The sequence below is a fragment of the Homo sapiens genome, chromosome 1, assembly GCF_000001405.40.
Source record: "Homo sapiens chromosome 1, GRCh38.p14 Primary Assembly".
NCBI classification, from domain to species: Eukaryota; Metazoa; Chordata; class Mammalia; order Primates; family Hominidae; genus Homo; species Homo sapiens.
The window spans coordinates 205,505,976-205,520,601 of NC_000001.11; the positions used below are offsets into that span (position 1 = coordinate 205,505,976).

The 14,626-nt window shown below is 53.7% G+C and overlaps 1 protein-coding gene across 11 annotated transcripts in view, besides 5 other annotated features; it reads left to right on the top strand.

Annotated features, from left to right (window-relative positions):
- Positions 1–14,626, top strand: part of CDK18 (cyclin dependent kinase 18) — a 28,122-nt gene that overhangs the window by 1,307 nt on the left and 12,189 nt on the right. For 4 of the 11 annotated variants that reach the window (XM_017001423.3, XM_011509602.4, XM_047422202.1 and 1 more), the window contains exon 1: positions 6,342–6,441. The exons of 5 other annotated variants lie outside the window; for them this stretch is intronic. The gene's annotated coding sequence lies outside the window, so the exon portion shown is untranslated. Of the gene's footprint in view, positions 1–6,341; positions 6,486–14,626 lie in introns of those variants that run through there. 2 more of the 11 variants (XM_047422209.1, XM_047422210.1) reach the window with 2 other exon arrangements.
- Positions 618–1,271: an enhancer, noted in NCBI's record as "H3K4me1 hESC enhancer chr1:205475721-205476374 (GRCh37/hg19 assembly coordinates)". NCBI's record gives its function as "activates a minimal SCP1, AML or CMV promoter by ChIP-STARR-seq in primed H9 embryonic stem cells {active_cell/tissue: H9 hESC(primed)}" and the evidence as "EXISTENCE:reporter gene assay evidence [ECO:0000049][PMID:30033119]".
- Positions 4,128–4,675: an enhancer, noted in NCBI's record as "H3K27ac-H3K4me1 hESC enhancer chr1:205479231-205479778 (GRCh37/hg19 assembly coordinates)". NCBI's record gives its function as "activates a minimal SCP1, AML or CMV promoter by ChIP-STARR-seq in primed H9 embryonic stem cells {active_cell/tissue: H9 hESC(primed)}" and the evidence as "EXISTENCE:reporter gene assay evidence [ECO:0000049][PMID:30033119]".
- Positions 5,673–6,287: an enhancer, noted in NCBI's record as "H3K4me1 hESC enhancer chr1:205480776-205481390 (GRCh37/hg19 assembly coordinates)". NCBI's record gives its function as "activates a minimal SCP1, AML or CMV promoter by ChIP-STARR-seq in naive H9 embryonic stem cells {active_cell/tissue: H9 hESC(naive)}" and the evidence as "EXISTENCE:reporter gene assay evidence [ECO:0000049][PMID:30033119]".
- Positions 9,433–10,133: an enhancer, noted in NCBI's record as "H3K27ac-H3K4me1 hESC enhancer chr1:205484536-205485236 (GRCh37/hg19 assembly coordinates)". NCBI's record gives its function as "activates a minimal SCP1, AML or CMV promoter by ChIP-STARR-seq in primed H9 embryonic stem cells {active_cell/tissue: H9 hESC(primed)}" and the evidence as "EXISTENCE:reporter gene assay evidence [ECO:0000049][PMID:30033119]".
- Positions 11,536–12,235: an enhancer, noted in NCBI's record as "H3K27ac hESC enhancer chr1:205486639-205487338 (GRCh37/hg19 assembly coordinates)". NCBI's record gives its function as "activates a minimal SCP1, AML or CMV promoter by ChIP-STARR-seq in naive H9 embryonic stem cells {active_cell/tissue: H9 hESC(naive)}" and the evidence as "EXISTENCE:reporter gene assay evidence [ECO:0000049][PMID:30033119]".

The window sequence follows — 14,626 nt, forward strand, 5'->3', positions numbered from 1 at the left end:
CTCCTGTGTCAGCACCCAGTGAGCTTCGGCATGTTCGCGTGGCATTCCCCACCCGGGCATGGGCATGCAGCACATTCCTGGACACGGGCCTGAGAGGATGCCTGGAGCGCCTGGTGGACTGGCACGTCCTCAGAGATCCCCTGCCTTTAGCCTGGCCTTGGGAGGGGCCTGGGAAAACGGTGCTGAGGGTGCTGAGGGTCGGTGGAGTACAGGGCGACACTGGCTCCAGGTCCGGGTTTGCATCCTGAAGGCGTTCCAGAGAGAGGGTCACCTTGCCACAGCAAAGCTGCTATCTCGGGTTACCCTTTCCCAGCCACCTCTTGTGCAGCTGAGGAGGCTGTGGGGCTGACCCCTCCCCCACCCTTAATCTGGGGTGTACCTGACCATTGGGTTCCCAGGACTCTCCCCACTGGGTCCCCAGGACTCTCCCCATACCCTGCCAGGAGAATGGAAGAAGCTCTCCACGCGTGCCAGAAGAAGTTCTTCCCAAACTTATCGGGGGTGCCAGAGGCAGAGTAGACAAGCCTTAGTGGCCACCATTTGTTGAATATCTACTGTGCGCCAAGCAGTGCGTCACAACTTTATGAAGTAGGTATTATTATCATCCCCATTTTACAGGTGAAGAAACTGAGTCTCTGAGAGACCAACTTTTCCAAGGTCACACAGAGGTGGGATCCAGCCCACTTCCGTCTGACCCCAAGCCCCTGCTGTTAACCCCTGCCCCATTGTGGGGAGGTTCCGGCCCACTCTGGAGTTCTCTGGTCTGCGTCAGTCCTCAGGAGAAGAAAGAATGGGGGTGATGCTCCAAATATTGAGGCTCCCATCTGTCTGTCCTGCACTAGGCAGAGCCAGGCTTCTCCATGGGGCACAGGAGAGAGGGCACCAGATCTGAGGAGCAAATAGGTTCTTGGTCTGAGATCTCGTGGGATCAGGTTGCCAGCCCTGCAAACCCCCGCTCAGGTCTAGAGGACATGGAGCTGCCTTTCAGGGTGCATTTGCTTCCTCTACAGACTCGGACTCTGTCCTCTGCCTACTTGGGCCGTCCCGCACTCGGGAATGCGTCCTACACTGTAGGGCAGAGCCCGGCTTGACTCTTCCCGGTTCCTACCCTAACCAAGCCTCTACTTTCTGGGATCACCCTGTTGGGACTTTTGTCCAGCATCTCCATCTACCTGTCCTCTGATTCCTTCTGTTCTTCTCTAACTGAGCTTGAGAACTAAAGGGGAGGGCAAACTTCTGGCCTTGGTGGAATCCAGCTCCAGCATATAGTAGCTATGTGACCTTCCCCTCACTAGCACACTCGTGAATTTCTCCCAGCATCCGTTCCCTCATCTGTAAAATGAGGATCATAATAGAGGGCTGTTATAAGATTTAGGCTGGGTGCGGTGGCTCACGCCTGTAATCCCAGCACTTTGGGAGGCCGAGGTGGACGGATCACGAGGTCAGGAGATCGAGACCATCCTGGCTAACATGGTGAAACCCCATCTCTACTGAAAAAAAAAAAAAAGCACAAAATTAGTCAGGCGTGGTGGCAGGTGCCTGTAGCTACTCGGGAGGCTGAGGCAGGAGAATGGCGTGAACCCGGGAGGCGGAGGTTGTAGTGAGCCGAGATTGCACCGCTGTACTCCAGCCTGGGCGACAGAGCGAGACTCCGTCTCAAAAAAAAAAAAAAAAAAAAAAAAAAAAAATAATGCACAGTGCCTGGCATGTAGCAGAGACTAAATAACTGGTAGCTATAGTGGTTGGTGGTGCTTGTTTGGAAAGGGAATTTCCTGGTGATTGCACCAGGGCTGGTCTAGAGACCAAGGTAGATTTTCCCAGCCCCATCAGGCCAAGCCCTTAGTTAGACAGAATCTTTACTGCTCTTCCAGGTTAGGGAGGAGGGCTCTGTGTAAGAGAATGGTGGTGGTGGTAGGGGAATGGGTTGGATGGAAATCTTCCAGGAGGGGCCAGGAATCTGTGCTGTGGGGGCCCTACCTTCTGGCAGTTATGAATGAGGCAGGCACTGGGAGCTGGAGAGGCAGCAGTCTCTTGCTCTGAGGGCCCTCTGGCAGCGCCTTCTTTCCCTGAGGTAGGAGGACCCTCCCCTGGTACTTAATTAATTGCAGTCCCTGTTCTGCTCTGTTGTTCAGGGTGAGTGGCTGGCCTGGTTCCAGGCCCACCTGATTAGCCCACCTTTGGCAATAAGTCACATTTCTCTTCCTCGGCTCTGTGTCCCACCATAACCCCTTACGTCCCCTTCCCTGGACTTTTCACCTTTGCCCTCCAGGCATTCCCTGCTGAGTGGGCACTTTCCCACATCCAGGGGGTGGGAGCAGACCAAGGTTAATCTTGTCCTGGCTCCCACAGCTGCTTACACACACACAGCTGCATGCACATGCACACACAGGCTGGGCTCACAACAGCTCAGGCCAAGGGTCTGGGATCCAGGATCACTACAGAGCTGGTAGCTGGGCCTGGCTGGAGCTGGCCAGTGGTTCAGCAGCAAGTCTGGAAGAGGAAAAGCCGTGGGCGCATCTCCGCCAGACCTCCTGTCTGAAAGAGAGCCCATCTGCTCCTAGAATCTCCACAGCTACATCTGCAGAGGAGGAGGGGTAGTGAGGCAAGTGTGAGGTTTGGTTTTAAACTGAAAAGGGAGGTGGGCGGATTGCTTGAGCCCAGGAGGTCGAAACCAGACTGGGCAACATGGCAAGACCCCATCTCTAAAAAAATACAAAAATTAGCCAGGTGTGGTGGCACGCGCCTGTAGTCCCAGCTACTCGGGAGGCTGAGAGGGGAGGATCGCTTGAGCCTAGGAGGTTGAGGCTGCAGTGATCCATGATTGCATCACTGCACTCCAGCCTGGGCAACAGAACAAGAACTTGTCAAAAAAAAAATTGAAAAGGGTCTTAGGCCGGGTGTGGTGGCTCATGCCTGTAATCCCAGCACTTTGGAAGGCCAAGGCGGGTGGATCACTTGAGGCCAGGAGTTTGAGACCAGCCTGGCCAACATGATGAAACCCTGTTTCTCCTAAAAATACAAAAATTAGCTAGGCATGGTGGCGTGTGCCTGTAATCCCAGCTACTCGGGAGGCTGAGGTAGGAGGATCGCTTGAACCCAGGAGGTGGAGGTTGCAGTGAGCCGAGGTCGCACCACTGCACTCCAGCCTGGGCGAGAAACAAAACAAAACAAAACAAAAAACGGGTCTTGAAGCAAAGCTCCCTGACAGCATGAGTAACCCTGAAGAGACTGGACACCTTGCTCTGGGAGACATGGGCCAGAACTTTTGAAAGGACTATGATGAGATCCTCTTTCCTGGAGCTCTTGATAATGGTCCCACCCTCTGAGCCTCCCTACCCCCACCATTAAATAAAAGTCTTCCCTAGAAATGGTGGAGTCGGGATAGACAAGATGACCCAATAATGGCTGGCTGGTGCACTCATCATTATTTATATGTTGAGTGTATGTCTCCTGTCCACCATGGGTGGAGGCAATTTATGGACTTTGGGGTCAGTTCAGATTCTGCCTCTTCCACTCAGTAACTGGTTGCCTTAGGTTAAGTAATTTGCTCACCCAGGTTTCAGTTTCCTCATTTATAAAATAGGAGGATAATACTATTATCTCATGTGATTGCGAGGACTCCAGTGAGATAATGTCCACCTAGTAGCTCTTTGCTTTACCTGATGTCATTATCAAGGGGTGGTGGCAGAGTTAATGGGCTACATTTGGTAGTTCTCAGTGCCTTTGGCCCCACTTGATATTTTTTTCTGAAATCAGGGTCCCTGCAAACATCAGGGATCAGCCCCCAAATTGGGAAGAGAACTCTATTCTTAAAATGTTTCTGGCCAGGCACAGAGGCTCACACCTGTAATCCCAGAACTTTGGGAGGCCGAGGTAGGTGGATCACCTGAGGTCAGGAGTTCAAGACCAGCCTGGCCAACATGGCGAAACCCCATCTCTACTAAAAATACAAAAATTAGCCAGGCATGGTGGCAGGCACCTGTAATCCCAGCTACTCCAGAGGCTGAGGCACGAGAATCGCTTGAACAAGGGAGGCAGAGGTTGCAGTGAGCCAGGATTGTACCACTGCACTCCAGACTGGGTGACAGAGCAAGACTTTGTCTCAAAAAAAAAAAAAAAATTTCTACCCTCCCTCACTCTGAACACTGTTCCCCATCTTATCATTATCGAGGGAAATTCAGAGCTCCAGAATGATTACTGCCCTCACACCTTGCTTCCCTAAAGAAGCCTGCCCTTTTCTGCCTGGGGAGTCTCCTCAGGAACCAGACCTTCTTCTCTTCTCTGGCCCCAGCCACCCAGCACCCTGGGCTGCGGGGTGACCAGCCCAGGAGGTGACAGGGCTGTCCTTCCCACATCCTGGCAGGACCCACTGCCTGGAAGCAGGTGGGCGGTAGGTGTTATGCTAGAGGGCATCACTCTTGACAAAGCAGCACTGGCTCCCAAACTCTGCCTGCAACATGGGATGAGCCCAGGAAAGGGGTCACAGAGCCCCTCCCTGATCCTGCCGTGGAGCCCAGCTGGCAGCATCCCCTGCCGTGGCTGGGCTGGGTGCCATGTTCTGTGTGGGTGCCAAACCTGGCATGGCTCCTTCCCAAGGAAGGTGGCCCTTGGGGATGCTGTGACTTTCTTGGCTGTGGTGACCAATAAAGGGAGTGCCATCTCTACGCAGGCCCATGCAGTCCCTTCCAACCCTGCACAAAGTCAGAAGCCCAAAGTGTGGTCCCAGCTCTGCCCTGTCACCCTCAGTGGCCTCGGGCAGATCGCTCACCTTTCTGAGTCTTGCCTTCTTTGCCTGAAACATGAGGGTGCAGACCAGGGGATTTCCAAAGGCCCCTCTGAGGCTGCTGGTCTGAGGCTCCGACTTTTGCCTGTCCTGCTAACAAGGTGAGCTGTGTGCTGGGGTCCCAAGAGGGGCTCAGCCTCCTGTTCCTCCAAACTGTAGAGCCAGGGGCTTGCCCCAGCTGATGGCTGGGTACCTGGTCCCTGCCATGCTGAGATGGGCAAGGAAATCCTGGAATGCCTCAGCCCTGTCAATTAGGAGGAGAACAACTACCTCGCAAAGAAATGGATGCTGGATTCAAACACTACACAGGCACTGGATGCTCAAGGCTAGGGGTTGGCAAACCATGGCTCTTGGCCAAGTCCCGACAGTTTTTGTATGGCCCATGAGCTAAGAATGATTTTTACATTTTTAAGCAGTCGGTAAAAAGTCAAAAGAAGAAAATAAAGTTTTGTGACCCTTAAACATTTTATAAAATTCAAATGTTAGTGTTCATAGTAAAGTTTTACTGGTGTGAGGCCAAACTCATTCATTTACATCTTGCCTGTGGGTGCTTTTGTGCTGCAAAGGCAGAGTGGCAGAGTGGCGACAGAGACGATGGCCCGCAAAGCCTAAAATAGTGGCTGTCTGGCCTCTTACAGAAAAGGTTTGCTGACCCCTGCTCAAGATAATCATAGTTCTCTCCAGGCCTTGCACTAAACTGCTCCAGGATCTCAATCTAAAAGTACTTTCTTTTCATTTAAAAAGAAGTGTTGCTATTTTCTTCTTATGTAAGCAATAAATGTTCATTATGGAAATATTAGAAGATGCAGATAAGCAAAAAGAAGACATTAAAATCACCCATAATTCTATCACCCAGGAATAACTACTGCTGGTGTTTTGACTTACCACCTTCTGGGTTATCTAACAGTGTGCTGTGTTTATATGTGCATGCCTGTGACACATGTGTATATCCTGCATACGTACAGCTTTTACAAACTGTACACATCTGTCCTCTTCACTTAAAAACACATCTTGGCCAGGTGCGGTGGCTCACACCTATAATCCTAGCACTTTGGGAGGCCGAGGCGGGCGGATTACCTGAGTTCAGGAGTTTGAGACTAGCCTGGGTAACATGGTGAAACCCCATCTCTACTAAAATACAAAAAATTAGCTGGGTGTGGTGTCGTGCGCTTGTAGTCCCAGCTACTTGGGAGGCTGAGGCAGGAGAATTGCTTGAACCCGGGAGACAGAAGTTGCACTGAGCCAAGATCACGCCACTGCACTCCAGCCTGGGTGACTCCGTCTCCAAAAGAAAACACACACACACATACCTCTAACTGAACCCTTGGGGGACACACAGGCAGGGTGCCCAGAAGGCAGCTGCACCCAAGCATCTGGAGCTGAGGGGCTTGGTGGGGCCAGGGCTACAGATCTGGAGTCATCAGCACGCGGGTGGTGGTTTCCACTTCGGGAGGGGATGAGGTCACCCAGGAAGCATGCCCAGAGAGGAAGAGCAAAGGGCCAAAGAGAGAATTGTGGGAGTGTTGACATTCAAGGGACAGGTAGAGGAAGTAAGTCCACCAGACCCGGGAGGAAGGAAGAAGCAGGAGGAGACCCAGGCAGCCAAAGGGAGTGGAATCCGAGGCCCAGGGCCCAGGACAGTGCCTGGCGCTGAGCAGGTGCTTGTGAAATGAGTGAGTGACTTTGAGGAGGCTGAACCCTGGTGAGTGAGTGACACTGATAAAAGACATTTAGAGAACAGTTGAACAACTATGAGATGTTCAGAGGCCTGGGGGAGGCCATGCAGGCCAAGGAGGCCTCCTGGGCCCAGCCTGGTGGGAGGGAGGCCATGCGGAGTGTGAGGAGGGAGAGGCGGGGCAATCCAAGTGACCAGAAGCTGGGAGCTGGTCAGAGGAGCCCAGTGGAGTTCTTGGCGGTGACATGAAGCTGCTTTTTTTAAGCTAGTCTCTCAGATTGGAATGAGGAAAGTTGGAGACGACCAGCCAGGGGTTCTTGTCAGAATGTGGGCACTGGGCGGCGTGGGCCAGCTGGTGGGGGTGGAGTATAAATAGGAATATGGTTTAGAGATGCTGGGAAATCCTCCCCATTCCCTCCCCCTCCTGAGACTGAGAGGTCCCCAGGGATGCCAGGCTCAAAGGCCCCTGCAGTTCTGTTGCCAAAGTTGGGCATGGAGAGAAACCCAGAGACAGGACTGAAGGTCCCATGACAGGCCAGCAGGAGAGCTGGACACGGGATATCTGGCTGAGAGAGGGCTATTGGGTGGGTGAACTCAACACTCTTCTTTTCTTCTCCAATTTATTGTGTAAAAGATGGTAGGCACCAGTTTCTGTGCCAGAGCAAGTGGAGAGGAAACAAGCTGTTTCCTCTGGTATTTAAGGAAGACCTAAGGAAAGGTTCCAGACTTTGGGATCTCAAAAACACAGGACAGTTGGGGAAGGACCTTCCTTGAGTGTCTTTAAAGAGGGCTGATAAAAGGAGCAGAGAGGGCTCCTCTGGCTGGGAGAGTAAGGCGGGCTTTCTCTGGAGGCAGGAGGATGGGGGAGATGGAGGCCAGGCCTATCCTGGCCCTTGCCCCTTGCTCTGGTCTCTGATCTGGGATGTTCTGTACGCCCAGGACCAGAACTGACAGAAGGGCTCCTTGTCCCATCTTATCACTTGGACATCCTGAGCCTCCTCAGAGAGTGCAGACCAGCTTTAGCTGGGCCCCCAAAAAAGGTCAAAAGGAAAATACCAGAAGATGCAATATGCACCTCTATTCCTTAAGCCTCAGGAAGCCAGAGAGCAGCAGGGTGGACATCAGTAGGACTGAAGTGGAGCCACACAGAGGGGCTAGATAGGAGGTCGTGTGGGGTCAGAAAGGGTCATCTGTAGGGGTCAAGGCCAACATCTGAGCCTGAGTAGTGCACCTGCCCTACAAGGCTCTGAGAATCTTCCCTGAGTGATAGAGCCAGGAAGAGGGCCACAAGCCCCTCCGAACCCCTTCCCCACAGCCCTGGAGGCCCTAGCTCAATGCATGTTGCAGGAGGAACTTCTCATTCGGGTTCTTCTCATTCCAGTCCACCCCTCACTGTAGGATGGTGCCTCCAGCCCAAAAACCTCCACAGACCTCACTGGGGGAGTAATTGCTGGGCAGGACACTGCCCCCACTGCCTCAGCCCATCTCCCGCTGCTGTTGGGCCACATGCTGGCTAGAGGAAGAGGGTCAGGTTTCAGCTGAGGCCTCGAGTCCAGCTTTCATATTTCATTTGCTGGTCATTTGAGGGCTCACTTTGTCTCAGGCTTTGGGTCAGGCTCTGGGGGTGCAATGACGAGTCACGCCACAGTGCTTGCCCTTAAAAAGCCCACAGGCAAACTAGGGAAATGACAAGTAAACAGTTACAGGACAGGGAGCCAAGTGCCCTGCCTTGGGATGTCAGAAAGCTGTGGGAGCACAGAAGAGGGACCATCACCTGGCTGGGGACAGTGGAGTTTCGGGCTAGAGGAGATGCAGAGGTCCCCATGGCAGGATGAGTAGCACGTTGTTGGTTTCTCCCTAGTCCCCCATCCATCTGCTTGGGTACCAATCCCTGTATTCCTGTTCCCTCTGAAACCCAAGAAAACTGAGGAGGAAGCATGCCCCGGGGAGTCTGGGGCTGGGTGACTGGACAGTCTAGGCTTACTCTAGTGTGCCCAGAAAGAGGACAGGGCCAGGCCCACCCCAATCATGCTCAAGTCTAACTAGGACAGGAGATGGCCTAATGAGAAGATACACCTAGAAACAGGTCCCTGGCCTGCCTGAAAGTGGAAGGAAAGGCACCAACATTTATTGCACGTGGCAGTGTGTCCTGGATCTTAAAGGTGACTAAGATACAGTCTTTGTCCTTGAGGGATCTAATGTTTCCATATCTGTAGAGGAAAGAGGTTTAAACAAGTCATCATGAAGCAGTGGCTCGATGGCCTCATTCAGTCACTTGTTCATTCGTTCCACAAATGCTGAGTACCTGGTGGGCTCCTTACTCTGTGTAAGGCATCAGGGAAACAAAAATGTTAAGGCCCCATTCTTGTCCTGAAGGATCTCACAGTCTAGTTATGAGTGTGTGCTGGCTGCTCTGGAAGGGACAAGGAGGAAGCATCTCATTCTACCTAGAGGAAGAAGGTGTGGTCATGCACAGTCTCCCAGGGGAAGTGACCCATGAGTTGAGTTTGGGAGTGGTTTTACCGAGGGAAAAATTGAGGAAGGGCATCCCAGGCCAAATGATTGCAAAGCTGTGGGGTGTGAGTGGAGTTTGCTCTGGGAATGCCAGGTACATTTGATAAAACCAGACCTTCTGGGGAGGGGTGAGAGCTGAGGCTCAAGAAGACAGGGATCCAAAAGCCTGGTCTGCCAGGCCCTGGAATTTGAACTTTTTCCTGAAGGCAGTGTTAGCTTTGAAGGATTTTTTTTTTTTTTTTTTTTTGAGATGGAGTCTCGCTGCAACACCCAGGCTGGAGTGCAGTGGCGCCATTTCGGCTCACCGCAAACTCTGCCTCCTGGGTTCAAGCGATACTCCTGCCTCAGCCTCCCAAGTAGCTGAGATTACAGGCGTGTGCCACCATGCCCAGCTGATTTTTGTATTTTTAGTAGAGACAGGGTTTCACCATATTGGCCAGTCTGGTCTTGAACTCCCGACCTCAGGTGGTCCACCCACCTTGACCTCCCACAGTGCTGGGATTACAGACATGAGCCACCGCGCCTAGCCACTTTGAAAGATTTTAAATGGGCAAGCGACATCATCAGAAAGCAGCTGAGAAAGTTAAGTCTAGGACGCTGATGGCAGTTGGATTGGAGGCCAAGTATTATTCTCAATTAGCAGCAAGGAAACTGAGGCATGGGGTGTTTTTTCAGGTCACAGCTACTAAGTGGGGTTTCTTCCATGACACCAAACTGCAGAGAATTTTGGAGAGCAAGGCTAGACACCGTGTGTTCCTCACTGCAGGACATTTCTGATTGGAGTGAGACTCTAGGAGACAATGGCGTATTTGTCTGGAGCAAGGGCGACCCTGATCCCCACTTTGCCTCCTGAGCAGACATCCAACAGGTTTGCCCAAATTGCTCCCGGAAGGCCTTCCCCGCCTACTTCCTGCATTCCAAACAGAGGCTGTGGGAATCCTCTTGGAGCTCTGGGACTGTCCAGAGCATCTGTTTGTTGGCAGGGTGACTGCAGGCCTGGCTATCCTCATTTCTGGCCACTCTGAAGGTTTCAGGCCTGCAGCCTCTCTCATCCAGGCTGGGGCAGGGCAAGGTTGTGAGGAGGCCCCAAGGCTTCTGCTGCTGACGCCGCCACAGCTCCAGGCAGCTAAGGGGTGACTGGCTTCCCCTGAGGTTTGTCCCAGGCTCCTGGAAACTAAGGCCTCCAGCTGTGCAGAACAGGGTCAGCTGGAGGATGAAGGAAGAGATGGTATCTGCAGGCTCCCAGCAGGCACAGTTCTCCCTGGGAGGAGGGAGTGTCTCTGAGGTCCTAGCTCATGACGTCTGCAAACTTGGTCAGCCATGGCCTCTAGTTCTTTGAAATTCACCCAAGGGCCAAAGTGGCTGAGTGACCGAGGCAGGGGCAGGGACTGGGAGATAGGGTGTCATAGGGATCCTGGCTGGTGGTCAGCCTTCGTGACTGAAGGGAAGACCCTCTGGGCTTCAGAAAGTGGGCAGCCACAAGTTACGTCCCCCAACCCCTGCCCCTGGGCCCACAGAGACCAAGATTGAAAAGAAAAGCAAACAAAACAAAAAGAGGGACTTGGGGATGCATCTAACATGTGCCTGGAACACAGCAGGTGCTCCACATGTGCCTGTAAAGCAGACACATGCCTGCTGTATGCCACCAGCACCAGGCATAGAGACCAACGTGCTCCAGATGAGGGAGACAGGTGAAAAGTCACGCCCCATTGAAGGAGGGGCACCTGGTGGTCCTGGGGGTGGGGTGGAGTGAGTTCCAGGAAGCTCCTGAAGGCCCCAGAGACTTGTACAGCATGCAGGGGCAATGAAGAGGGGCAAAGCCAGAGACGAAGGGGCCCCAGATCTTGAAGGGCCTTTGGGTGCAGGCTGGGGAATCGGGGCTTTGTTCAAGAGGAAGGCAAAGAGGCTTCTTGAAGGGGTTTGCTGAGAGAAGACTCCAGTCCTGGCCCCAGGAGCTTGAGAAGTGAAGCTGACTTTCCCGCCCTCCAGTCTACAGCATCCCAGATTCCTGGGATGCTCTGTCAACCTCCTTCTCCACCTCCATGGTCTCCAGGTCAAGGTCTCTCAGGGGTCCAGCCCCAAGGCAGGTATTAGGTCTGTGGCCTGGCACAGGTTGTCCCAGCAGTCAGTGGGCTGGGAATCTGCCCTGTCTGGACACTGGGGCCCTGGGGCTGGCCTGGCCTGCTCTGTGGAGCTTTCTTTCCTCCTAAGAGAGAAGATGGGGCTTGTCTGCCAGTAGCCGGGGTTCCCTGCCTTGCACGGGCCCCACCCTGCGTGGCCCTGCAGTTGTCTAAGTAGGGGGGACCCTGCCTCCCTGGCCCTTCTCCCCCTCACATCTGCCAAGAGATGATCCTGCTCCCTGTCTCCTGGCCCTCTTCCATCCTGGGATCCAAAAGCACCTTGCAATAAGGAAGTCTGCAGGGATGTTTGATGAAGTTTATATGAGGACTCTTTTTGTCTGGGCAGTAGCTTGAGAGAGGAGAGCCAAGCTTTGCTGGACATCTTCCCTGTGCCAGTGGTGTGTTGTGTTGGCTCACCCAGCATGTTTGCTCAGATACCACTGTACGTTGAAAATGTCACCTGCCCAACATCCAACTCCTGGTCTTCCCACTGAAACCACTACTCCCAGAATGCCTTGTCTCCTCCAGTGACTGTTCTATCTCTCCACTCCGGCTGCTTGGCGAAAACCCTGCTGCAGAGTCATGCTTGACTCTTTTCTCACCCACAACATACAATCCATCTGCAGAGCTCTTTGCCTCCACCTTCAAAATATAGCCCAAATCCAGCCACTTCTCACCATCTCCACTGCCCCCCGCTGGTCCCAGCCACCATCAAGCTCTCTCCCCTGGGCCTCAGCAGCAGCCTCCTGCCCGGGCTCCCTGCTCTCCCCTTGCTCCCCTTGTCTGTTCTCAACACAGCAGCGTGTTAAAGCCTCAGTGTGATCATGTCACTCATCCGTTCAAACCCTCCTTACCCCTCGAGGCCCAACACAGCTGCTCCGCACTCCCATCCAGCATCTTCTCCAGCCACATCATTGTCCTGCAGTGAACCAGACTTACTTCTGCCTCAGGACCTTTGCCCCTGCTGTTCCCTTGTTGACCTGCTTCTCCCAGACCCTGCATGACTGACCCCCTCACCTTACACCTACTCTGGATTTCTCCTGAGATGTCACCTGCTTCTTGGGGAGGCCTTCTTGACCACCCTACTTAAACTTGCAACTGCACTTCCCACACCTTCCCTCTTCCCTGCATGAATTCCCATCATTGCACTTGTCACCATCCATCATACTGTGTATTCATTCTGTCTATTGTCCGCACCCCCCTACCCCTGTTAGAAAGTATTAGGAAAGGAATTAATGTCTGTTTCATTCATCTGTGGATTCTCAGGGTCTACAACAGTGCCTGGCATGCAGCAGGTGTTCAATAATTGTTGAATGAATGAATGGAGCCAGGGGTGAGAGGGGTTTTATCACGTCATTGCGATTCCATAGCCTGCTAGTGGTAGCACCAAAGTTTGAAACTGAGTTTGTTTGGCACGCAGTTCAGAGTAGGAGAAAACAGTCAAGCCTGGGCCACAGGGAAGGGGCAAGGGCGGGGAGGGCTCCAGGTAGGAGAAGAAAGGAGCAATATGGTCACGTTTGTGCACTTGGCAACAACCAGGAAATTGCTGCGTGATTCTGGGCAAGCCATTTCCCCTCTTGGATGTTCAGCATCTTCACTGGGCAAGGGATGGGGATGGAGGCTGTGTGAGCGTCTTCCCCTGCTAACATTCTGGGAGGCCAGCCCTGCTCACTGGGGGCACAGTGGCCTCTGGCAAGTGCTGGCTTTCTTCCCAGCCTGGCTCCTCCTTCCTCCTTCTGTGCCACCCATGGCTCTGGCACCAGCAGGAGGTTCTGGGCCGGCTGCTGTGTCCCTGGGAAGAAGCAACTGGAGCTGGCTGAGCTTTATGACTTACCTGGGCAGGGAGGTGGGAGGGGAGGTTGGCTGGGGTCTGCCTGCCCACCCTGCAGCTCCTCAGTGGGACTCTGCTCCTTCAACTTCCTCCACCCCCCACTGCCGGGCCAGTATCCCTGGACACTCATCGCCCTCTTCCCCTGGCACCAATTGCACGGGGACAGCCCCAGATGGCTCCTTGGTCTGGGGACAAAGGCTGTGCTGTGCCTGGCCCCGGGCTGGCCTCAGGCTGGTCATACTGAGCCCTTCTGTCCCCACTTGGGGGTGAGGGGTAGATAGCACTAAGGTGACAGGCCTTTTTCCTGTCTCCCTTCCCCCTCGACCCCCAAATCTGAGGAGCTGACTCTCCCAAGGGAAAAATGACAGAGGCATCTTGTGTCTTGACCTAGGGAACAACAGACTATTCACTGCCCAGTCTGCCCTGTCACACCCAAGACCCTGCTGGGTTCAATGCCCTGGTTGTCCCCAGCAGAGAGAGACATCCACTCTGCTGTGGTCACCACCCCCACCGCCTGCTCCCCTGTCACCATCAGGAAGTCCACCCTACATCTGACCTCCATCCTTCCATCAGGAAGTCCATCCTACATCTGACCTCCATCCTTCCATCAGGAAATCCATCCTACATCTGACCCCCATCCCTTCTGCTGCTGTGACAGCCACTTCCTCTCAGGCTCCTGTCCTGCGGGTGGAGAACAGCTGGTCCCCATCGCCTGCACTGCTTGGCCCCACATTCCTGCTCCAGTCAGCTGCCTCTGGCCTCACCCTTCCTCCAGCTCCCAGCCCCACTGTCCTCCCCACCCCAGGCACAGGCTGGTGGCTCCTTGCTCCTCACTGAACCTTAGGGAGAGCAGGTGTGACTCAGGGCTGAATCTCTTTTGTCTTGCAGAAATGGGGGGCCTCCTTCCCGGAGGCTTTTAATGAGCTCCCCTCCCCTCACCCTACAAGCAAGAGCAAGGGTGTGAGATTTATGGTTGCTACTTGTAGATTCCTGAGCCGCAAATCCAACATGCCATCCCATAAATCCCAGACTGCAGGACGGTTTTATGGGGAAGCCCTGTTTTTAGAAAGGGGTGTGGCTGGTCTCCCTCCTGGCAGAGCTCAGACCTCAGGGAGCCAAGTGCCTGCCTCTCCCCACCCCCAGAGAACAACCATGACAAAGCACGGGGACATTGGGGACATCAGTTGGTGTGGTGGAGATGCACTGGCTTCCAGGACAGAGAGACTTCCTCTCCTGTGGGGGGCCTCCTGCTTCCCTTCCCTGCTCTGAGGATCCCCCGTCTCAGCACAGGAGGGTGGCCTGGAAGCCTGGGCAGATAATTGTCCCTGACCTGGACCTTAGATGTTTTCCTGGTCACCGCTCCAGGTGTACATCATTGGAGATGTTTTTTCAAATGCATTTTCCCAGGCACCATTCTCAGAACCTCAGTTCCAGAATCTCAGGGTGAGACCTAGGAATCTGAATTTTTTTACAATGCTCCCTGGTGATTCTGATGTTCAGCTATCTTTGAAAATAATTGGCTGAGTGCTGTGGCTCATGCCTGTAATCCCAGCACTTTGGGAGGCCGAGGAGGGGCAGATCACTTGAGGTCAGGAGTTCGAGACCAGCCTGGCCAACATGGCGAAATCCTGTCTCTACTGAAAACACAAAAATTAGCCGGGTGTGGTGGCGCGGGCCTGTAATCCCAGCTACTCAGGAGGCTG